This window comes from Homo sapiens, chromosome 6 (genome assembly GCF_000001405.40).
Source record: "Homo sapiens chromosome 6, GRCh38.p14 Primary Assembly".
Classification (NCBI taxonomy): domain Eukaryota; kingdom Metazoa; phylum Chordata; class Mammalia; order Primates; family Hominidae; genus Homo; species Homo sapiens.
In genome coordinates, this window is record NC_000006.12 from 165,864,976 (window position 1) to 165,891,207 (window position 26,232).

Sequence of the window (26,232 nt, forward strand, 5' to 3'; positions counted from 1 at the left end):
TAAAATATTTTTTCTATACAGTCTTAGTTATCTTTAAAATGTATGCTTTACCACCACCTGGAAGCTCAAGAACCAGACTGCTCAGCCTACCACCACCACCATTTGTGCCCAAAAATTGACGCACCTGGCATTCCTGCCCCAAGCAAAGTCTCACCACAGTCTCCACTAACAACCACAGCCTTAGCCACTGAAAAACTCACAGACACCACCAACACTGAATACAACTGAAGAAATCACAAGGAGACTACTCTACTGTGCTCACCCAGAATCAAAGATAAAGCATTCTACCCAACCCACACTACAGATACATCTGTTAAGAAAGCATTATTCTATAAAGCCAATTTTATAAATTGGAAGAAGCAACTGTTAAACTAGATCCAAATATATCAATGTAAGGACATGAGAAACATGAAAAGCAAGGAAACGTGACACCACCAAGGAACATAATAATTCTCTAGTAACAGAGCCCAAAGAAAAGGAAATCCATGAAATGTTTAAAAAAGAATTCAAAATTATGATATTAAAAAAACTTAGTGAGATACAAGAGAGCACACAAAGAAGCCAAAAACCAAATCATGATCTGAATTAGAAATTCAACAAAGAGATAGACAGATAGCATAAAAGGAACCAAATATAAATCCTCAAATTTAAGAATTCAATAAAAGAAATAATAAATACAATCAAGAGCTTCAACAATTGACTAGATCAAGCAAAACAAATATTTTCTGCACTTGAAGACATGTCTTTTAAAATAACTCAGACAAGAAAAAAAGGGATAAAAAAAAGAAGAAAGTCTATGTGCTATATGGGACACCATAAAGTAATCAAATATTTGAATTTTGGGAGTTCCACAAGAAGAGATGAGTAAAGTAATAGAAACCCTATTTAATGAAATAATAGCTAAAAAAAATTATCAAGTCTTGCAAGAGATATACACATCCAAATACAGGAACCTCAAATATCTTCAACTAGATTCACACCAAAAAGGTCTTTTCCAAGGAATTTTTAGGGTTTAAATTTAGAGTTTAAAAGAGGAAGAAATGAACAAAGGATATACAAACAATCAGAAAACAATTAACAAAATGCAGAAGTAAGTCCTCACCTACAAATAACACCACAAATGTAAGTGGTTTAAATCCCCCAATTAAGAGATATAGACTGGCTAAATGGAAAAAAAAAATAAGACCCAAGTATATGTTTCCACAAGAAACTCACTTCACCAGTAAGAGTTTAAATATGTGTGTGACTAAAATGCATTGTAGAGATAATTTAGTTACTTAAAATCAGGATGTGTAAAACAAAGTTAAAACATATATGACCACATCTGTTGAAGCTCTAACTCAGTGTTTTTTGACTCACCTTGCCCTTAGTGCACGTGTTGGTGTTGTCCTGAATCACTAGGATTTTATTTACTGCACTTCTGGCTTTTCAGTAATGAATTTCTGTTAATTCATTTCGTTAAGCATGATTGGGTTGACCATACACAGTCATGCACTGGTGCGTAAGGGCATCCGCAGTCTCTTAACTTATGAACCAATTTTCAAGACAAGTGTGCAAGTATGTGCTGCATTTAGAATAATAATGATCTATACTAAGGTTGCAAAGCGTCCTGTTAATAAGCCTTCATCTCTTCACCGCAAATTATAGACAAACTGTCAAAAATGAAAGACAAAGAGAATTCTAAAAACAGCAAAAAAACAACAAAAAAGAGTCAGTTCTTTCATAAGAGAATATAAGAGAATCTCCATTGGAATAATAGCAGATTTCTCACCAGAAATCTAACAGGCCAGGAAAAAATGGGATGACATAGTCAAAGTGCTGAAAGAAAAAAAAAAACCTGCCACCCAAGAATGCTATACCCACCAAAGCTATTCTTCAAAAATAAAAAAGAAGTAAAGTCTTTCTCAGACAAGCAAAAACTGGTGAATTCATCATTATTAGACTAGTGCTACAAGAAATACTCAAGGGAGTTCTACATCTAGGAGAGAAAGGATGATATATACCATCATGAAAACACACAAAAATATAAAACTCACTGGAAAATACACAAATGAGAAATAGAAAGGAGTTAAATGTTATCACTGGGAAAACCCCACCAAATTATAAAGGTAAATAATAAAAGAGGAAGATATGAACAAAAATGTACAAACAATCAGAAAATAATTAAGAAAGTGTAGGAGTAAGTTCCCACCTACAAAGAACACCATAAATGTAAATGGTTTAAATCCCCCAATTAAAAAATATAGACTGAATGGAAAAAAAAAAAAAACCATGAGACCCAAGTATAATTTTCCAGAAGAAACTCACTTCACCAGTAAAGACACACATAGACTGAAAGTGGAGGGATGGAAAAAAAAAATCCACACAAATGGGAACCAAAAGCTTGCAGGAGTAGCAAAACTTCTATCAGGCAAAATATACTTTAAGTCTAAAAACAAAACAAAAAAAGACACAAAGAAGGTCATTATATAATAATAAAAGAATCAATTCAGCAAGAGGATGTAACAATTTTAAATATGTATGCACCCAACACCAGAGTACCCTGATATATGAAGCCATTATTATTAGAGCTAAAGAGAGAAGTAGACCCCAATACAATAATTAGGGACTTCTACATCTCGCTCTCAGCACTTGACATAACACCTAGACAGAAAATCAATAAAGAAACATCAAACTTAATCTGCACCATAGAATAAATATACCTAACAGACATTTAAAGAACATTTCATTCAACAGCTACAGAATACGCATTCTCCTTATCAGCACATAGAACATTCTCCAGGACAGACCATATGTTAGGCTGTAATACAAGTCTCAACAAATTTTTAAAAATTGAAATAATATTAAGTATCTTCTCAGACTACAATGGAACAAAACTAGAAATCAACAGCAAGAGAAACATTGGAAACTATGCAAATACATGGAAATTAAACATGTTCCTTAACGACCATTGGGTCAGTAAAGAAATTAAGAGGGAAATTTTAAAAATGTCCTGAAACAAATGAAAATGGAAACAGAATATTTCAAAACCTATGGTATACAGCAAAAGGAGTGCTAAGAGGAAAATTTACAGCAATAAATGCTTACATGCAAGAAGCAGAATGATTTCAAATAAACAAACTAACAATGCACCTAACTAGAAAAGGAAGAACAAACCAAACCCAAAATTGGTACAATGAAACAAACACTAAGATTAGAGTAGAACTAAACAAAATAGACTAAAATAAAAATAAAAGATCAACAAAACAAAAAATTGCTTTCTTGAAACCATAAACAAAATTGATAGACTGCTAGCTAGACTAAGCAAGAAAAATAGAGAGAAGGCCCAAATAAATAAAATCAGGAACAAAAAAGACCTTGCAATTGATACCACAGAAATGCAAAGGATTAGAGACTATTATGAACAACTATTTGATATCTAATTCGAAAACCTAGAGGAAATGGATAAATTCCTAGACACATACAACCTATGAAGATTTAACCAGAAAGAACTAGAAAACCTAAACAGACCAGTAAAAAGTAACAGGATTGAATCAGTAATAAAAAGTCTTCCAACAAAGAAGAGCCCAGGTCCAGATGGTTTTCCTGCTGAATTCTATGAAACTTCTAAAGAACAAATAAGACCAATTCTTCTCAAACTGTTACCAAAAATTGAAGAGAAGGAAATTCTTCCTAAATCATTCCATGAAGCCAGCATTACCCTGATACAAAAACAAACAAGGACATAATTTTTTTAGAAAAGAAAGAAAACTACAGGCTAGTATCCTTGATGAACATAGATGCAAAAATCCTCAACGATGTAATAGCAAAACAAATACAACAATTCACCAAAAAGATAATACACCATGGTAAAGTGGGATTTATCCCAGGGATGCGAGGATGGTTCAACATAAACAAATCAATAAATGAGAGACATCATATCAGCAGAATGAAGAACAAAATCCATATGGTTATCATATGGAAAGAACATACCTTATCATAATAAAGGCCATATATGACAAAGCCACAGCTAACATCATACTGAATGGAGAAAAGCTGAAAGTCTTTTCTCTAAGAACTGGACCAAGGCAAGGATGCCCACTATCACCACTCTTATTCAACATCGTGCTGGAAGTCCTAGCCATAGCAATCAGGTAAAATAAAGAAATAAAAGGCATTCAAATTAGAAAAGAAGAAGTCAAATATTCCTCTTTGCAAATTACATGATCTTATATAGAGAAAAACCTAAAGATCCACCAAAAACTCTTAGAACTGACATATTCGGTAAAGTTGCAGAATACAAAATCAACATACAAAAGTTAGTAGCATTTTAATACACCAATAACAACCTAGCTGAAAAAAAATCCAGAAAGCAGTCTCATTTATAATACTACAAAAGAAAAAAAAAACTCTTCCTAGGAATAAACCTAATCAAGGAAGTAAAAGACATCTACAATAAAAACTACAAAACACTGATGAAAGAAATCAAAGAGGACACAAACAAATGGGAAGACATCCAATGCTTATGAATTGAAAGAATTAATGTTGTTAAAATGACTGTACTACTCAAAGCAATTTACAGATTTGATGCGTCCCCTATCAAAATACCAATAACATTCTTTGCAGAAATGGAAAAAGTAATCCTTAAATTCATATGGAATCACAAAAGACCATGAATAGCCAAAGCAATACTGAACAAAAAGAACAAAGCTGAAAGCATCATACTACCTTACTTGAAAATACACTACAAAGCTACAGTAACCAAAACAGCATGGTATTCGTATAAACACAGACACAAAGACCAATCGAACAGAATAGAGAATCAGAAACAAATCCATGTATTTACAGCAAACTGATTTTTGACAAAGGCACCAAGAACATACATCAGGGAAAGGACACATTCTTCAATTTATGATGCTAGGAAAAGTGGATATCCATATGCAAAAGAATAAAACTGGACCCCTGCCTCTCATCATATACAAAAATCAACCCAAAATGAACTAAAGATGTAAACTTAAGAATAAAAACCATGAAACTGCTGGAAGAAAACATAGATAAAACACACTTCGGGATATTGGTTTAGGCAATGATTTTATGACAAAGACTTCAAAACCACAGATAACAACAACAAAATAGACAAACAGGACTATATAAAACTAAAAAGCTTTGCACTGCCAGGAAAAAATCAACAGAGTGAAGAGAGACAATCTTTGGAATGGGAGAGAAAATATTTGCAAACTACTCTTCCAACCATGGACTAATATCCAGAATATGTAAGGAACTCAAACAACTTAACAGCAAGTAAAACAAGCAATTCCATTAAAAAGTGGGCAAAGGACCTGAATAAATATTTCTCAAAAGAAGACATACAAACGGCCAAGAAGTACATGAAAAATGCTCAAGATCACTAATCATTGTGGAAAAGCAAATCAAAATCACAATGAGATATTGTCTCACTCCATCCAGTTAGAATGGCTACTATCGAAAAGACAAAAAATTACAAATGTTGGTGAGGATGCAGAGAAAAGGAAACTCTCATACACTCTTAGTAGGAATGCAAATTAGTACAACCATATAGAAAACAATATGAAAGTTCCACAAAAGACTAAAAATAGAATGACCATACAATCCAGCAATTCCACTACTGGGTATTTATCCGAAGGAAAGGAAATTAGTATATCAAAGGGATACCTGCATCCCTGTGTTTCTTGCAGCACAACTCACAATAGCCAAGATATGGAATCAATATAAGTGCCCAGGAGAGGATAAATAGATAAAGAAAATGTGGTATATATACACAATGGAATATTATTCAGCCATAAAAAAACAAAATCTTGCCATTTGTAGCAACATAGATGGAATGGGAGGTCATTACATTAAGTGAAACAAGCCAGGCACAGAAAGCAAAATATCATGTTCTCACTCATGTGGGAGCTAAAAATGTTGATCTCATGGAGATACACAGTAGAATGATTGTCATCAGAGGCTGGGAAAGGCAGCGGAAATGGGAGATGAAGAGAAGTTGACTAATGGGCACACACATGCAGTTACACAGGAGGAAGAATTCTACTGTTCGATGGTAGAGTGACGATAGTTAATAATAATTTATTGTATATTTCAAACTAGCTAGAAGAGAAGATTTGAAATGATACACAAAGAAATGATAGATGTTTGAGGTGATGGATATTCTAAATATCCTGATTTGGTCATTACACAGCGTACGCATGTATTGAAAAATCACATCTACCCCATAAATATGTACAATTACTATTTATCAAGAAAAGAGGAAAAGGAATGAATTATTGATATAGGATGGATGAATCTCGCAAATATTGTGCTGAATAAAAACTTTATACAAATAAAAAATGTGTGCTTTACTTTTTTAACTAGAACAAAAAGCAAGAAAAGCTACAGATGTTTTGGACATGAAGGGATGAAGTGGTGGGGATGAGTCCTGGTGAGACAGCACTCCCGATGTGACCTGGTGAGGTGAATGCAGGGGGACAGGAGAGAGGATTGCATGGAGGGGAACTCTGGTCCTTCAAATGGCTGATTAGGTGGCACCAATTTTTTCAAGAGAAAACATTCAGCAGGAGACATTTTGAGGGAAATATCTAGAGTAAGACTAGTTTAGGATAAGCTGAATTTGAGGTACCCTAGTGCTCTAAAGGGAGATGTCTGGCGAAAGTCAAGTTTATGGAGAATTAGCAGTGGGTGGATTTGCATGCACTCCCCAGGCAGGGTAAGTGCCAGGAAGAGCACCCAAAGGCAGAACCTCAGGGCAGAATGTGCCAACCCCAGGGGTGACGACTGAGGGTGAGCTGGTGCAAAAGGAGACAGCAGCCTGGAGGGGAGTGCTTTGATCCTGGGGGTGGGGTTATGCTATGCCTGTGAAGGCTGGAGAAACAGGAGCATTTGGGAAAGGGCAAGAGGAGATAGGATCGAAGGTGGAAATCAAGGTATTTTCAAGAAAATGACAGACTGACTCAGTGAAGCTTTTCACTGGAGACCAATAAATCTGGAAAATTCAGCTGGGCCAAGATTGTGGAGGTGCTGAGTGTCAGAAGCGTTGCCTTGTTCTCATCAGGGACTCGCTGTGTTCAATTGGATGCATTTTTGCCTTTGCAAGGTCTCAATTGAGGGTGGCCACAGAGCCAGTTAGAGCATGCCTTTATGAAACAACTTAGTACATGTTTCTGTTGGTGTCATTTTCCTCTTAGTCTTATCAATATTACTGTATTTGTAACATGCACATTTTATTTGTAAGAAAGATTCTACATCCCACGCGTTTAATAAATTAAAGCAAATAAAACGTTTTTAAGTCAGTAGCCAGAAACCCCACCGAAAAATATTGCCTTTATTAACCTTGTAGCAAGGAGACTCCTCCCTTTTAGTGACTGAATATACCCCCATTGTCACATGTGGTGGGTGTGGAGGTGCTGACGCCCACTGAACATGTTGGTGGGTCCAGAGGATGCGTCTTGGCTGCCCCTTCAGCAGTATCCTCTTCCTTCTAGACAGCACTCCAGGCTTTCCCCAGTGCAGTGTGGGGGGAATTGTCCCTGTGCAGGCTGCTGGGGTGAGCTCCCTCCTGACCGAACACAATGAGTGCAATTGTTCCTTTGGCAGCCATGATTGCTTAGGGTGGGCAGAAGGACAGGAAGCAAATTCTGGCCAAAAAGATGAGGGGAGCTGTGTTTTTTTTGTTGTTGTTGTTTGTTTTGTTTTTTAACAAAAAGCACTTTATTTCATATGGAAGATTTCACTAGGAAAGTGATGAGTGCAACTGAAACCCCGCAAATACTCAAAGCAGCCCTTTGCTGGGACAAAAGCCTGTATCCTGAGACCACAGAACACTAATAGGGGATCAGTAACCACCACCAACACTACTCAGTAAGTCAGGTGAATGCTATGTGCTTGTGGACATCCCCAGTGAAACCTGGACTCTGTGGCATTGAATCCAGGTGATTCCAGGAGCCAGATGTCTCAGGTGACACCAGGCTTCAGCTCTGAAGCAGAAGCTATGCTTGCTGAGGGTAACGCCGATGTGGGAGGCAGATGCGTTCACATCCTTCACGTGATGAAAAATGGAGACTTCCAACCCCTCTTTGGCCAGGTTGTTCCTAGGCCTCAGCCTCCTGGCAGGGGAAGCCAGAATGTTCGGGGGAGCAGCCAGATCCCCCCAAAGCCCCAGGCTTCCTGTGCTGAGGCATGAGTCTCCAGCTTGAATCCAATACTCAGGAAAGATGATGTCAAAATCATCTCCTCTGTTTAAAATCTCTGTCCCTCAAACACCAACGCTTTGAATTCCTTAAATGGTGAGTTCTCAACATATCCAAAAACAAAAATACTACTACTAGGACATTTTGGGGAAGCAGAACAAAACCCCGACAGCAATGCAGAGAGGTCATTCCCTGGGTTCCTGGCTCCCCTGCTAACTTGCTCTGCGGGGAAGGTCCATCAGCCTCTCTCTGTTTTCTTTTGAACATCTGTAAAACAGTGATAATTTGTAATTTCATATTATAAATTCAGAGTTTGAAAGGCAACTGTTTACTTTAATTCAACTTTCTCCGCAAGAGAGCAACACCTGCTGATCTCATTTTAAAAACTGAGCTTTGTATTACAGATAGCCTTTAAAGATTTTTTTCTTAACTTAAAAAAACTTATTTGGGTTTAAGCTCAGTATTTGAATTTGACATAAGACTTTTGCTATCAAGGCATATGTTTTTAGAGGAGATGTGAAGGATGCATTTTAAAACTTAGATGCAAAAAAAATTGCCCTTTTTAATTTGAATAAAAAAATAAGTTAAGCTATTCCTTTTTTATTTTGCTCCAACTCACTGAAACACATACTATGAAGGAAAATGTAAAAATATCGAAAATAGGTTATTTGTTTACTACTGGGTTTTTTTAAAAAATTAATCATTTAAGAATTTAAAGTATGTACACGTTTTAAGACTCTTGTTAAAAATCCTGCTGCTTCTTCCATAAATGGAAAACATAACACAAATATAGATTTCTATTATTACCACTCTTCTCTAAGGGACAAAGGGTGAAGCTTTGTTCTCCAAGTCCCAGCAAACAACATTTTGTGAGAAAATGAAGCATTATGGTAGTATTGTAAGGGCAAAGCAGTCAGGAGATGAAAACAGCCAGAACTGATCACTGCTCAGGAGACAGGGGAGGAGAAGCCATAAAAATTGTAGCACTAATTACAGCTCACGTGCAGATCTCAAGTTTCCCAGTTAGCATTGCTTTTTCTCATTTTGCCTTCATTAAACCCTGTTTTTCAAATGTGGAGACAGATTCAAAGTTGGGAGCCATCACTAATGGAGTTACCTGCTTCTGGGAGAAAAAAGGACAGACTTTTCCTTGGTAGCCTGCTACTCATATGGTGGAAGAGAACTTATTTCGCATTAGAAAAAAAAAATTTAGCCAGAGTAAGCAGGGTACCTTGATTCTCAGATCTAAGGTTCAGTTTGTGAGACATGCTAAGTGAGGCATGAATTTATTCTACGAATTTATTTCTTCTCCTGTGCAATATAAGAAGGATGACATAACTAGGTTTGTTTAAAATATTATCAAAAATGATCATTAGATGACTACAAAACAGTTTTAAAATCAGTAAGCGTTACACAAATAATGGTGCTTATTGATGAATGTTAAACAGTATGTGTTTTCTATGTCCTCTCATATTATTTTGCAAATCTCTGCACAGTTCAAATTATTCACAATTGAAATTGGGAAGTGGAAGAAGAATTAAAATATATTTCAAGTCCACTAAAAAATTCCAGCAAATTGTCAGCAATGTGTCCCATATCCAGTATGGCGTAGTGGGTCTGCACTGAAATGTCATCATTCCTTCTGGTAGCAGACATCAAATTCCCAAAGGCAATTTATAGGCTTATTTGCTTCCTCACTTCTCCAGGGCTCAAAAAGACAAGGAACTTAATCTGAGAAAGGACACTGGGTCAGTAGGGACCCAGTTATTCGTTCTAAGTTAATATGGAACTAGTACTCAGTTTCCTAGAGAGGGACAGAAAATGGAAAAACATATATATTTGAAGCAAAGAAATGTGCACAATTTTAAAGACTAATACAAAAAGGTGATTGAGTGCAGTTATTAAGAAAGGTTTGGGGGATTGTTGGTGTGTGCTGGGGACAGGTGCCTTGGGTTCATCTTTTAGTAAATAAATCTGTCTCCTTCAATTCTCCCCCAGAGAGTTGGTTTAGGACAAACTTGTGCATGTGCTTTTCCTACCAGGAGGATAACATCAGGAGAGGTTGCTACACTGTCTGTCATTGTTGGCAAAAATGGACCACAGTATGAACATCAAAACCTTGATCTCTTATGAAATGCCATGGAAACTCATGGAAATGCCACCTTGGTCATACTTGGTCATCTTCATGACCAGTTCTGCTAGACCAACCCTTGGTATACCGTAGGTGTGCAATAGTTTTTATTGCTGCCCAGCTTTACGCAGGGGCATTTAATAGTCGTTACAGATATTTTAAGCACTTCAGAGGGAATTATCTTATCAGCCCGAAAATGATTTCAATTTTAAATGCCTACTGATTAACACAAGACAAAACCATTGATTTTATAAGTTTTTACTCAGGAAAACATTCAAGTCCAGAACTGGCCCATGCACTAATTTTCAGACCTTCTTGAGAGTATACATTTAGTTCCTTTTTCTGTACCTGTCATCACTGAACCAAAACATTCACAGTGATATTTTTATTTTGGGTTTCTGATAGGACTTATTTTCTTTTACTGTTTTTTTTTTTTTTTTGTGTGTGTGTGTGTGTTTGTTTTAACACGGAGATATTTAATCCTACCAGATGTTTGATAATTGTTGTGCCTTCTTCCTCTATTGGTTTTTAAGCGTAGGGTTTTGACTTTGGAGAAATTAATTGTTTATGGGAAAATAGCTGTGAAGGTCAGAGCAGGGATTAGGGCATGATATTCCTGATAAAAAGCCCATGACTGTTTCTACCACATCATAGTTGTGTAAAGTGGCTTTTTAAAGAAGCTTTTATGGATAACATGAGGCAGGTCTATGCATCTGGCAGCTCTATGCATAAATAAAATGAGTCTTACACATTTGAAAATTGTTTTGGAACTTGTGAATTAATGAATACCACAAATGTTTATGATGCGACTGATCCATGCCAAGTGGCAGGACACACACTGGTGCTTCTAGGACTGTTAACAACAGCCTGGGTTTCCTGAGGCTGCAAGACCAGCAAGAAGGGGGTATACTTATCAATGAGTTCAGAAAATATTACATTAAAAAAAGCAAAACCAGCCTGTGGTAAACTCATCATAGCTATTACCAAATGAAGAAAGAAAAGAAAATCTAAACCTTACTTAATCCAGATGCTGGCTTTTTTAAAATAAAGAAGTGTGTCATTCTAATTTGAAGACCAGTTAATCTGCTTATTAAAGAAAAGCTAGGGTAATGAATTAGACTAAAGTCTCAAACAGTGCAACTCCTAGGCACCTGAAGAAATCAACAAAAATGGGGAAAAGAGTCTTTGGAATGGCTTTTCATTCTGACTATTCCCATGTAAAAACTGAAAAACCCAGAAATCAGGGTTTTGGTAGCAAAACAAATGAAGATATAACTCCTCTATATTTTCCATTAGATTCTTTTTCTCCCCAAAGTTCAAAGTTACCACTGCATGGAATATTACTTATTGGGGACCTTCAGTGGTTAAAAACCTGCAGCCTCCCAGTTCTCTTTAAGAGTGGCTGCCAAGCCTCCGTGCGTCACGGAGCAGAAAGCCTGCAAACGATCATAACATCCCAGTGAGAATTGTTTGGAGACTAAACTTGGTGCTGCAATCTGTCTGCTGGCCATTCAGAAATCACAGTTTGAGTTAGCTTTGCTCCCAGATCCAGCTGAAGTCCTGAATCCAGCAAAGGGAGGAGCAGCTGTACGAAAACAAATTCCGACTGAAATGCACCATCCACAGAATTTCTAAGTAGTCACACTGAAAGTCAGCCTGCTGTATATAAGCAAATACCATGGATTCAAAATTTATATTTGAAGTATCTGCATTTAGAGCACTAATAACCTGGATTCTGTAGCAAGCATGCCTGGTGTTTTTAGTTTGAGGGAAAAACAATTTAATTATTACTTTTGTTTCTTCCTGAAGGCACTATCTGCTTTTAGAATGAATAATTGTTTTGGCACACGTGTGGGTCTCAAAACTTACACCTCATTGACAAGCCCCATCATTTAGTCTCCTTTCAGAAATGAAGCATTTCTTCCTCTTCTGGTTTTGCTCTCGTGATAAATTCCACATAGGATTTGATGCATTCGGACACCATAGCCCTCTTAGGTTCCTGCCAGTCTTCCCTTCCTCACCTTCCTATCTCCCCAAGAGCAACTGCATTTAAAATGTTTTCCCAGCTGGCTTCCTCCTCATTCACATTACTACTGCTTTCCTCTGGGACAGCCACTCTTCATGGGAGAGTAGCCACAGGTCTATAGGTCAGCCTGCCCCATTCAGTTGTTCCCGAAATTCTCTTCTCGCTTCCAAATATCCTTTTGATTAATTGACAAAAAATTGTATAGATACACATATATATACAACTTTTATATGCGTGTACAGCATGGTGTTTTGAAATATGCATAATTGTGAAATGGCTAAATTGAGCTCATTAATATGCATTACCTCACATATTTATAAATAATGGGATACTTAAAAAAATCTTATCTTAATGTGATTTTTTAATAATGAAAACCTGCCTACTCTACCTCTTCACAAAAACTGTAACAAAATTAAATATAATAATAACTAACGTTCTCGAAGAGCTTGCTATTGTCCAATCCCTGAGCTAAACGCTTTATATCTTATAAAAGCATTCTGCACCAAACAACCCTCTGAGGAAGGCAAGATTATTATTTACATTTTATGAAAAAGGGAAACAAAGCCTCAGAGAGACTAAGTAATTTTCCTAAAACCACACTCTGAGTAAGTGACGGAGCCTGGATAAAAACACGGGTCTTTCCAGAGAAAAGCACATGCACTTATGCAACACCCTCCACTGCACAGAGATAAACAGATTGATGATCAAGGGGCCAAATAACTGAAGATACCACTTCATTTAAAGATACTTAGCAGAAACAAAAGTCCACCTTGAATTCTAGTTGGAGAGACTTCATGAGACACCAATGCCCTGTTTACTACCCAAAACCTGCCACATTTTACAAAATCAGATTGGAAACCAAACCATAGATGCCTCTAGTCTTATATGAACAGCAAGAAGCAGTAGCTTAGATTTCTATATCTTTGTTGAATATTTCCCCCTGCTAAGTCACCTAATTTCAGAAGTCATGCATGGTCATTAGATTTATGTAAGTGTGTTAAGAGGAAGCGTTAAGTTGCCAGAAAACGAACTATCATCAGGGATTATTTTTAACACTGCTACTTATAGGGTCAGTAAACAAGTAAAAGCATCAGCTTTGAAGCATCAATCACTTCCCTACTATCCAGTCAACATCATCCTCACTTAAAGTGATGTTCCTAAAATATTGTAGAAGCCTCGATGATAAGGACAAGAAATGTGGATGTGACATATGCAGACATCTTGAAGAAACAGTCACTTGATTTTCTGGTTTAAAGAGATGTTGTGGGAGACAGAATCATGGCTCCCCAAAGACATCCACGTCTTAATCTTCAGAACCTGTGAATATGGAGCTTCACAGCAGAACAGGAACATTGCAGGTATGATGAGCAGTCCTGAGACGGCGAGATGATCCTGAATTATCCAGGTGGGCCCTTATAAGAAGGGTCACATCGGTCAAGGCAGATAAGGGAGATGTAGCAAAGGAGGCAGACGTCAGAGTGATAGCCTTTGAAGATGGAGGAAGGGGCCATGAGCCAAGGAATGAAGGCAGCCTCGAGAAGTAGAAAAGGCAAGAAAACAGATTCTCCCTGGAACCACCAGAAGGAAGATGGTCTGCTGACATCTTGATTTTAGCCCGGTGAGACCCATTTCAGATTTCTGACCTCTAGAACTGCCCAAATAACAAATTCACACTGTTTGAAGTGACTAAGTTCATAGTGATTTGTTACAGCAGCAATAGACACTGATGCAGATGTCAGTCTGAAATTTGGGGGTGCAACTGACCTGGATATAATGTCTCCCAGCATCTTTTATGGGCTTAGAGGCACCTGCTAAATTGGGACAGAAAATTGCATTGTTTATAATTTGACTCATTCAGACAATTATTCCTGTAGGTATTTAAAGGTATAACATTCATACAATGGCCACCAATGTATTACTTGAATTTTATCTTTGAAATGGTGAATTTTATCAAATTTGCTAAGGGAGTTCAAGCTGCTGGACTTTCAAAATCTTAGCTTTGCTGTAGTTTGAGCAATTTTGGGGGACCAGCAAAATACTTGGCAGCAGAGAACCCCATCAACAACCAACCTCTGTGTCTGTTGTCGCCTGACTGTCCTCTCTCTGGGTCTTTGTGTCTGCACATGGCCTTCTTTTGAGGACACCCATCCTGTTGGATTAGACCCACCCCAATCAAATATGACCTCATTTAACTTAATTACATTAGCAAGGTCCCTACAGCCATCCCTTGCTATCTTCAGGGGATTGGTTCCAGGACCCCCTACAGATATCAAAATCCTCGGATGCTCAAGTCGCTGATGTAAAACGGTGCAGTGTTTGCATAACCTACACACAACCTCCTGTGTACTTTAAATTGTCTCGAGATTACTCATAATACCTACTTCTAATACCTAATGTAAATGCTGTGAAAGCAGTTGTTATATTTACCGTTTTATTTATATGATTTTTTTGTCACAGTTTTTAAAAATTTTGTAATCTTTTAAATCCGTGGTTGGTAGAATGAGTGGATGTGAAAATCACTGATATGAAGGGGCCAACCGTGTCTCCAAATTAGGTCACATTTACAGCTTCTCGGTGGATATGAATTCTCGGGGGGGGACACTCTTTAACCCAGTAAAGTTGGGAAATTTATCCTAACAAACTTGTCTCCATTATGATCCATGAAGCCCATAAAAACCAATAGTGGAGGAAACAGAAATTATTACCTATTGGAAAGTAAAGCTCCAGAAAGAGAATAATTTGTAGAGGTTTCCAGGGAAGCATTTCTTTTTCTTCATAAGAGGAGGCCTGTACAGCACTTGAGGGCTGTGAGCCCAGGTGCTTGAGTCAGGTCAGTCCTCCTAACCACTCTGCCAGACGGCATCTTTGGGCTATTTGGCCTTCTAATAGTTCTTTGGAAGTAGGTGTAGAGTCAGTTAACTTTCTACATTGTTTTATGCTCAACAATAATGTATTTGAATTAGATTCTTATAAGTATTGCCATGGTATAAATTTGCCCTGTTCAAATTACTGTGTAGTTTCTCTTGTCTGATTGGATCCAGACTGATAGAGAATTGGTACTAGGAGTGGGGTTTGAATCTATGTGGACATCTGTTCCTGTTTATGATTAGGTTGTATTTGTTTTCAGAATTCAAAATGCAAGGATGTTGGGCCAGATGCTGGATGCAGAGAAGTGTCTTCTCATTTTGCCCTGAACACCTCCAGTTTTTAATGAGATTCTTTTTTTCTAACCATACATTTTTCTACCCAAATGAGCCCTTATACATTTTTGAAAGTGTAGAGTCCTTTAAATGTTCATCTACTCCATCCCCATGTTCTTCTGCCTCAACCTTGGCCAGGGCCTTTGGTGTGCTGTGATGCCATTTTTCTCTGATATTAAGTGTTACTAGTTTCCAATCATAAAATCATACCATGTGAAGACTTTTCATTGGGAACAGGCTCAGCTGGCAGCTGGTTAAGTTTGGCAAAATGCTACAAGTGATTTATCAAACCTTCTGGGCTCAGGAAAACCCAAAGCATTCTTTTTTGCCAAGCACTCTTTCCTCCTAGTTGTTAAATCCATGTGCATTTCGAGGGAAATTTCATCCATATGTTTCTAATTCCTTTATACTTAACTCATCATTTTGTCATTTCATAAGAGTTTTTGATGTTTAAGAAGCCTTCTGTGTAGTTTCATATGCCTTTCTTTGTGTTCTTTAAACCACACAAACCACGTTTTTGAACAAAAAAGAAAAATGGTAAACAAAACCAGACTTTGAAAAGACTGGTTGTATATTCAGAATCTGTAAGAAGTTGAAATGGCTTCTAGGCTTCTCTGATGTGTTTCACCTTCTTTACTAAACCAGAACACCAGGCAATGCTTTGGCTAATAGGAATGGAAATGTTCAATTAATTTCAAAATGTCAGCCCTTCAAAACCAGAAATGTTTAAATAAATAACATCTAAACTCCATCCTTTGAGACAGTAAAACACTCTGTAAATATAAACAAATCACATCTTTACAAGTAGTTTTCTAGCTGAGGACACAGCAACAAGCAATTTCTTTTCTTTTTTCTTTTCTTTTTTTTTTTTTTTTTTTTTTGAGATGGAGTCTTGCTCTGTCGCCAGGGTGGAGTGCAATGGTGGGATTTCAGCTCACTGCAATCTCCCCCTCCTGGGTTCAGGTGATTCTCCTGCCTCAGCCTCCTGAGGATTAGCTGGGACTACAGGTGCGCACCACCATGCCCAGCTAATTTTTTTTTTTTTTGTATTTTTAGAGGTGGGGTTTCACCATGTTGGCCAGGATGGTCTCGATCTCTTGACCTCGTGATCCGCCTGCCCGCTCCCAAAGTGCTGGGCTCACAGGCATGAGCCACTGAGCCCAGCCCAAGCAATTTCTTTAGGTCAGCCTCCCCCAGGTTGCATTTGACTAAATACACAGAGTGAAGGAAATAATGACTGCACTAATCCAAGAATCTGTAAGTGGATTATTTCTTCTCACTCCGACAATTCAACTGCCCCCTCCATCATACATATATATTTTTTTCTCTTACTGTGGCAAAAAGACAAGTCACTTGAAAAAACATTGCCCGTGACATTATTTGTACCTTATGCAAAGTGTGCCGCCCAGGCAGAAGGGTTTAATGAATGATTCACGTGATCTGCTGCCTGAGGACATTACTGATGGCAGCTGCCAGACATCAGCACCTCCTCTCATGCATCCTCTCATTTCGTCAGACACCAGTCACGTAGAAATCAGCCCTCTGGCCCAAAGAACCACTGATCTAAGTGAAAGCTGAAGTGTGAAATAAACTGAAATACGTGGCAGATTGATTTCCACTCCATGGCCATCCCCGACCTAGTCAGAAGAGTAACCCTTGATTCTCATGGTCGCATGACCCATCTCTCATGGAACTTCTTCAGTTTTATTAGAATTACTTGTTGATACATCTGTCTGAGCAGCTAGACTGTGTGTTCCCCAAGGACATCTCTGTACTTTCCTAAACCTGGTGTCCAAGGCAGTGTCTAGCACATCATAGCATGATATTGGTGTTGTATGAATGAATAAAAACTGATCATTAATACCATTGTGTATTATAAAACCAAGCATAAAAGTAAGTTATAAAATATGTCTAATTTAAAAGGATCTAGACCTCAGGTAGGTGTATATCAAGTATTCCTGCCACTGGCTTAAAAAGGATAACAAGACCTTCTGCTAAGTTTCCACCTGCATTTTTATTTAGGTTCAGCATGGCCATGAGTTGTAGACTCAACGGTGTTTTGCTGAAAACTGACGGCAACCTTCAAAAGCATACAAGGACGGCAGCATTTCCACACAGTATTAGCAAATGTGTGTTGAGAAGTACACATGGTCTTCTATCATTCATGGCACATGTATCTTCCAAAATCTTTTTTAGCTACTTAATAAGCACTAGAAAAGATCACTCAGAAAAAAAAAAAAAAAGCCTCCCTCCTGGCAAACTCTGATCGTGGCTATGAAACAATTTCCCAGTGTGTTTCCAGGGCCTCTAGAATTTTTTGGTGCTTTGGTTTATCACGTCCCTGTTCTCAACCCCAGGAGCCAAGCTACAGAAGAAAAGAAAACTCACCTATCACAATTAGAAATTAAAAGAAGGATTTGCGCCGGGTATGGTGGCTCATGCCTGTAATCCCAGCACTTTGGGAGGCGGAGGCGGGCAGATTGCTCGAGGTCAGGAGTTTGAGACCAGCTTGGCCAAAATGGTGAAACCCCATCTCTACTAAAAATACAAAAATTAGTCGGGTGCAGTGGCGCACGCCTGCAGTCCCAGCTACTCAGGAGGCTGAGACAGGAGAATTGCTTGAACCTGGGAAGCAGAGGTTGCAGTGAGCCAAGATCGTGCCACTGCACTCCAGATTGGGCAATAGAGCAAGACTCTGTCAAAGAAAATAAAAGAAGAAGAAGGATTTGCCAGATGCAGTGGCTCACACCTGAAATCCCAGCACTTTGGGAGACTAAGGTGGGCAGATCACTTGAGGTCAGGAGTTCAAGACCAGCCTGGCCAACGTGGCAAAACCTTGTCTCTACCAAGAATACAAAAATGGCCCAGAATGGTGACAGCTGCCTGTAATCCCAGCTACTCAGGAGGCTGAGGGAGGAGACTCGCTTGAACCCAGATGGTGGGAGGCAGTGAGCTAAGACCACGCCACTGCACTCCAGCCTTGACGACAAATTGAGACTCCGTCTCAAAAAAAAAAAAAATAAATAAAAATAAAAATAAACTCTCCCCCACCAAAGAAGGGTGAGGGGATTTTCAGTTTCTGGAAACCTTATGTGCATTCAGGCAGGAAGGCTGGCTGAGGGGTCTAGGGGGCAACAACAGGAGTGGCAGAGGCGGGCTTGCTGGGATCCTCGCACACCCCACTGAGGTGCTGTGAGCCTGAGAGGAACACGAGGAGGTGTGTGATCCCAGCAATCCCAGCTTCGGTGTTGAACAGTCAGCACTGATCTACCCTAAGCCGCCCATACAGAACTCAAGCTAAAGAGACACAGGCCTAAATGACAGGCCACACCCCACCACTTTGCTCAATAAGCTCAAATAAGCTCGGATCCTAGGTCTCAGGGACTCAGCTTGGTGGTCCTTGAGGGGAGGTCCTCGAGGGGAAGCCAGGTATGCCGACTCCGGAGAGAAAGCCCACCAGCACCCAGGGCATCTGCGTGCCTGAAGCCATCCTCCTACCACCTCGAGCACAGATGTCAAAGCAGGTGGAGGAAGGTGATGGGAGGGTGTGCAGAGAAGGAGGGAGGCGTGTTTAAACAGGAGGTCACCCACAGTCCCAACGGCACAGGAATCGGGGACCGAAGGAAGAGCCACTGTCTCAAGAAATAAAAATTGTGCTTTGGGGCACACGTGGTGTCTGCTGGGAGACTGCAAAGGCAAGGGTGGGGGACAGGAAGTCAGGAAAGTTTAGAGGCACACATTTTAAAAACGGTGTTCCTTCCCCAAAGCTTTATAAAACTGTGATTGAATAAAAGCGTCTTTCATCGATTTTTGATGCCCAGATTTGACTCCCATCTTAGTTACTACTTAAAGAACCACAGGAATGCAGGTCCTGGACAGCAGCTGGAGGAAGGCCCTGCCTGGGACACAGACAGTTCAGTGACTCACCCAAAGTCCCAGAACCCTCGAGTGGCAGAGTTGAAATCAGAAGCCACGGGTCCTTTACTGTCCTACCTTCCACACCTGTCTCCCCCCTGAAACTCCCAACTATACTATTTTTTAAAACCATACATAATTTCAATCAACTTATATCACATGGGTTTGTTTGACTCAAACATAGAAACTTAAAGTTGATATAAACTATTCAATCCTGATATGACTGAAATGAATTTTATGTAAAACATCCTTGCAGACACTTAAAGAGGAACACAGAAATGAACTCAAATCAAGTGTAATTGATCTCCTTTTGATAACAACCACAATAATGGGTCAGATTAATTGAACACTGCAATGAGCGAGGCTTTGTTTAAGAAAATTATAAACATCTTCAGCTGTGAGGGCTTCAGGGCTAATTGGACACAACACAGGAATAATTTAGGGGAAGGAAATAAACACAGAGGGAGGGAAGAAGGGAGCAGTGGCGGTGCGCGTAATTGCAAGGCTGTGTCGTCCTGTGTGGGTTTAATTACTGAATTCCGCCTAGACTGCGGTGCGGCCTTCATGTGCACGCCCCTGCCGCCGTTTACCGCCAGGTGGCAGCGTAGACCAAGTAAGGAAGCCGGCCCACCCAGAGCTGGGAACTACAGGGGTGTGCTTTGTGGCTTTCAGACTCACAAAGATTCCAGATGAACATGATGTCTCTTTTTAAAATCGATTTGAAACGCAGGTGTATTCGTCTATTTCACACTGCTTTAAAGGACTACCGGAGACTGGGTAATTTATAAAGAAAAGACTCACAGTTCTGCACGGCAGAGGAGGCCTCAGGAAACTTACAATCATGGCGGAAGGCAAAGGGGAAGTGGGCACCTTCTTCACAAGGTGGCAGAAGCGAGAGAGAAGCAAAGGAGAAGCGCCACACTTTAAAACCGTCAGATCTCGTGAGAACTCCTTCACTATCACGAGAACAGCATCAGGGAAACTGCCCCCGTGATCCAATCACCTCCCGCCAGGTGCCTCCCCTGACACATGAGGATTAGAATTCAAGATGAGATTTGGGTGGAGACACGGAGGCAAACCATATCAGTGGGTGAGGATGAGGTGGGAACGGCAGCAAAGTGAAGCTCTCCCCCATGCTGTGAGCAGGAGGCCTGCGGATGAACAGAGGTGCGGATCTCACTGAAGACAGCTCTGCTCAGCGCTGGCTGAAAGGTGGGAGAGGGAAGGCCTGGTTGTCTAAAGCTCCTGGGCAGATCCAGTGCGTCCTTCACTCTTGTTTGCCTTTATTGGATGCCTTTGATACATGGGCAATGCCAAATGAACAATTATGTTCTGTGTTCCTCTTTTAGAGCTGCACATCCGGCATATGTGTAGACATGTGTATGCATATGTGTGTTGGAAGGGAAGACAGAAAGTCTCAATAAAATAACCTGTTATGCTCTTTTGGCTAAAGATAGAGAGACCTTACAGATAAGTAAGTTTAAATGTGGGATTTTATATACCTTATATAACTTTAGACGTCTGTGTATGTGTATTCGTCTCCTCGAAAAATATTGTCTATCATAAGTTGTACACTATGCCAAGAAAACTGTAAACATACATAAAATTTCATTTATTTTTTGAATCATTGTAATATGAAAACTCTTGCCACAAAACATTCTAAAAATGTTAGGTAAGTTTTTCAGAAATCCTATTATGGGCATAGCTGAATTTATTAGGGATGTTATAGGTGGAATGTGGATTCCAGCAGGCCCTGGAGCCCTGCAGCCCTGGAGCCCTGGAACCCTGGAGCCCTGCAGACCTGGAGTCCTGGAATCCTGGACCCCTGGGCCCTGGAGTCCTGCAGCCCTGGAGCCCTGGACCCCTGGAATACTGGAGCCCTGGAGCCCCAGAGTCCTGGAAATCCTCCAGCCCTGGAACCCTGGAGCCCTGGAGCCAGAAGCCCTGGAGCCCTGCAGCTCTGCAGCCCTGGAGCCAGGAGAAGCCCCAAAGTGCTTGCTGCTCCTGATGGGTTTGCTAAGCGCACAGAAGTCAGAAGATAGCCTGGGGCCTGCCTGTGCAAAGTGAGTACAGGAACAGGACTCCTACACAAAGCCAGAATCCAGAAGTTGCTCAGTGAGGGTTGAACAAGAAGAAATCAGAAGGAAACAAAATGGAAACTTCTTGGCCTTGCTTTTTTGAAGGGAAAATATGTCCCATCGAGAATCTGTATCACATGTTGGCTTGGTTTGGGGTTCAGATTTACTCTGTGAGCACAGACTAACTAAGGCCATTGTTTTAAAGTCTTGTCAGACTGGTAGCACCAAGAAGTGTTTGAAAAAAATCAAATGAAGATCCTCTCTGGAGGAACATACCTTTCTCTAGTATCTCAGGGAACTTCCACAGATAAAATCACACTAAGCATGAGCTCACACTGGGAAGCATAATGCCATCTTGAGTGAGAGTAAGTGGAAACAACAGAGAGGAGAATCTGTCACTCGAATACTTTGGAAATGGAAATACCAGATATAGAATACAGTGGAGTTTAAAATAAATAAATAAGTTTCCTATAGTAAGAGGACAAAGAAAAACATGAAAACATGAGCAAGATACTGAAATCATTTTAAACAATTGGGGAGATTTATAAGATCTACAAAAGAAAAGAAAAATCAATGAATGAGTTAAACAGCAGGTTAGACACAGCTGAAGAGACAATTAGTGAACTGAAAGATGAGCATGAACCTTCTTCTCCCACCATCAGGGGTGAAGAAGGAGCCTACAATCCCACCCATTTCTGCCCCACACTCACAGCCTTACTAACACTACCTGCCTTGAATCTATCTGGACAATCTCATTTTGCCTTATCTGTGTTTATACCAGTCACCAGAAGAACCCCCAGATTCTTGGGTTCTCCTTCATCACTGGGTTCTTATCTCCATATCAACTCTGCATATTCCCTGTTTTGTCCTTCTCTACCGTCCCCAACTTCTGAAGCCATGTCATTTTGTAATGTAGAATGCACAGATTGACAAGTTTCCATCATTAACCTTCCTCCTGAACCTTTCCTTCACTTTGATGCTGTAGGTGAGCCAGGTTCTTCACAGGGGACAGAATTGCCCCTGCAGTCCTCTCAGCCAGCAGCGTTCCCAGGCCTTCTCTTCTCATAACTCTTCCAGTGACTAAGACCAATATGCTTAGAGTTATCTGGAAAAACTCTTGCATTCTGAACTCATATCCAACCCATCATCAAATCATGTTGGTTCTACCTTCAAGACACATCCAGAGTCTGACATTTTCTCACCAGTCTCACCTTTATCTTTATTTTACAAGCCAGCATTAAAGTTCACTCTGATTATCTGATTGGCCTTCCCATGCCTACATTCAGCCCTTTACAATAATGGGAGCCAGAGTGATCATTTTTAAATTCCAATGACATCATTACTTCTCTGAACAATTACAAGCAGTGGAAAAGACAAAGTTCTTTCAATGGCTCACTGGGCCCTACCTGATCTGCCTCCTCTTTGCATCTCTTACCTCACCCTGTTCCATTCCCTCTCCTCATTAATTTCCCTTCAGTCATGCTGGCCTCCTTGTTTCTGAGACATGCTGGGGATGCTCGCTCCTTAAGGTCTTTGCACTGGCTGTTCCCTCTGCCTGAGACCAGTTATTTATATGGCTAATTCACACACCTTCTTACAGTCTTGGCTCCAACTTACTTTTTCAAAGAGGTTACCTTGATCATCTTTGCTCACCCCTCCATCCCAGCATTCCCAAACCACACACCTGGCTTTACCTTTTTGAATTTAGTATAGCTCATTACCTTCCAATCTTCCATTTGATTTACCTATGCTTGCTTTTCTTTTCTTTTCTTTTTTTTTTAATGGAGTCTCGCTTTGTCGCCAGCCTGGAGTGCAGTGGTGTGATCTCAGCTCACTGCAATCTCTGCCTCCCAGGTTTAAGTGATTCCTCTGCCTCAGCCTCCCGAGTAGCTGGGACTACAAACGTGCACCAACACGCCTGGCTAGTTTTTTGTATTTTAGTAGATACAGGGTTTCACCATGTTGGCCAGGATGGTGTCGATCTCCTGACCTCATGCTCCACCCGCCTCAGCCTCCCAAAGTGCTGAGATTACAGGCGTGAGCCACCGCACCTGGCCTGCTTTTTTTCAGTTGCCTATTGCCTTCTGCGGGAATGTAACTTCTACCAAGGCTGGGATTTTTATTTGTTTGTTTGTGGATGTTTTCCAAGTGCCTTGAACAGTGTCCGGCTCAGAGCAATCACTCCAAAAATGCATGAGCCTAAGAAATGCAGAACATTGAAAAGCATGGTGAGAGTTATGGAGGATAGAGTGATAGGTCCAACACACATTTAATTAGAGTTCCAGAAGGAGAGGAATTCACTAGTTGAGTATTTGAAAGACATCAGTTTTCAGACTTAGAAAATATAATGAACCTTGGCCAAATACATAGATAATTCAAACATCCACATCTGTGAACATGGCAGAGCTCAGGCAGTCAATCAGAAGTCCTGCAATCACAGCCATCTATTTACCTTAGTTTTTAAAATTCCTGATCTTGCATACTTTTTGTGTATCTTTTATGAACTGAATATCAATGCTGCCTATGGATTACCAAAGAGAATCCAAAGACAGAACTTAAAAACTAAGAAGTAACATTTTGTTGGGAAGCATTGAGCTTTAGAGGACCACAAACCATGGTAGTAACTAATATTTTTGCTGCTACCCCTAGAACCACATTTTTGCCCCTTGGGATTGATATCATGCAGGCTCTATGGTGTAAATCATGGTGTGATGCTGCCTATGGAGGAATATGGACCACAGGTGCCAGCAGGAAGGAGAGAAAGCCTTAGTTAGATAATGAATTATTTGCACACATTGTTACTTCTACAAAATGCGCTGTTGCTAGTTGTTTCCCAATCTGCACTCTCATATGCAACACCTCCCTAAGCAAGGACGTTCTCAGTCTTCTTGGTGAACTGTGCCAGCTTCCAAAGGGGAAAAGCCATTGGCTCTGCCACACCATTGGGTTCACGGGGGAATATCTCCAGGCTTACATCTGCACTCAGGGAACCCAGCAAGCTTTCTGATGGAGTTGCCGTCATTGAGGGGATATGTTAGAGCTGCTAGCTCCATCCAGGCACACGTTAGAAAATGAGCATAAACTGGTGCTTTCCTAGGCTTCTCCTGTTCTTGGCAGCAAAAAAATACCAATCTCAGAAATCCTCCTTCTGTTTCCCCTCAAGTGTCCTCCATGACAGGACTATGACTCTACTCGGAAACTATGGACCCTCTAGACTAACACGGCACAGGAAGATTTCCTGCAGGAAACCCAAGAGGCTGAGTACTGCACCAATCATTTCCTCACTCACCTACTCCTCCCTCCCTCTCGCCCCACTCACTCCTCACTCCTCCCTCACTCACTCCTCACTCCTCCCTCACTCACTCCTCCCTCCCTCCCTCCTCCCTCCCTCACTCCTCACTCCTCCCTCACTCCTCCCTCCCTCCTCCCTCCCTCACTCCTCACTCCTCCATCCCTCACTCCTCACTCCTCCCTCCCTCACTCCTCACTCCCTCCCTCCTCCCTCCCTCACTCCTCCCTCACTCTTCACTCCTCCCTCCCTCACTCCTCACTCACTCCTCACTCCTCCCTCACTCCTCACTGACTTCTCCCTCACTCCTCCCTCATCCTGTGTGACTTTAGCTGAATGTCATTTAGAGTCATTTAGACAGAAGCCAGGGTCTCTGTGTTGTCATCATGCAAGTAAAAAGTCACCCCCAGACTTTCCCCACGTGCGGAGCCTGCTGTTTCTCTCTTTCCCACTTGATGGCAGCAATCACTGGAAAGACCACACCGCGGAGGAAGACAGGAAGGTGGCCTGACCCTGTCAATAGCATTTACTTTTTTAAGATGGAAAGTGTTAGCTAGATGGTCAAGAGAGAGAAGGATGACAAACAATAAATCACTGTCTTCCGCGACAGTGGCTTTAGCTGTTTAGCTCATGCCTTAAATCCTCAATTTTTTGTCCTCCTGAGTATGTGTGGACCTCATTAGAAGCTGCTGAGTTTGTCAGCACCGACTGACCCTCTGCTTATGACAAAAACATTACCGCCAGAGTTACAAGTCATTCTTCCTCCTCTAGGCAGGTAGAGAAAGCCCCCATTGTGCCCCTACGTTTCTCAGTGGATCTCAAGTAGGCGCAAAGACGTTCCTGCCTTTACCTGAGAAATCACAGCGTTAGAAAGGTGAAGGACAGAACAGGCTCCCGGTGAGAGGGTTAAAGGAACAGATACTGGTACGGGTGGCCATATAAGGCCATTAGGTCTCTATCGCTTTATACAGAGCTCCTTCTGGAAGCGAAGAGCTGTTCTAACTTTCAAGTTACAAAAGAAACAAAGGCTGTAATTTCTGTATTACTAAAGGGATCCCTACTGCGGTTCCAACGCAGGACAGGTCTGAGCAGTATTTTAGGTTTTCTCATTATCCCCTGCCCAGGTTGGTCTCCACTCTCTCAAATTCCACAAGATAACAAATGATTTTTCCCACAACCTTACAACCTAGTAGACTGCCTTTTTGAAACTGAAAGATCTTGAACATTTTGTGAGATTGGTGGTTGAAGCCCGTGGAGAGGATTTTGAGCCCTCTGTGCATTCTGATCACGTTGTCACCCATTGCGTTCCTTAAAGGGTTGGAATTTCTGTCCAGTGTTGCAGGTTTTTCAAAGGGCCTTTCCAAACATCTGGAAAGTAGCTTTCATTTATGT

The 26,232-nt window shown here is 40.5% G+C and overlaps 1 protein-coding gene across 3 annotated transcripts in view, besides 1 other annotated feature; it reads right to left on the reverse strand.

The window, feature by feature from the left end:
• PDE10A (phosphodiesterase 10A) overlaps window positions 1-26,232 on the reverse strand; it is a 660,764-nt gene that overhangs the window by 537,687 nt on the left and 96,845 nt on the right. The window lies entirely within an intron of this gene.
• Window positions 20,133-20,182: an enhancer, noted in NCBI's record as "active region_25427". NCBI's record gives its function as "activates an Ori minimal core promoter by ATAC-STARR-seq in GM12878 lymphoblastoid cells {active_cell/tissue: GM12878}" and the evidence as "EXISTENCE:reporter gene assay evidence [ECO:0000049][PMID:35858748]".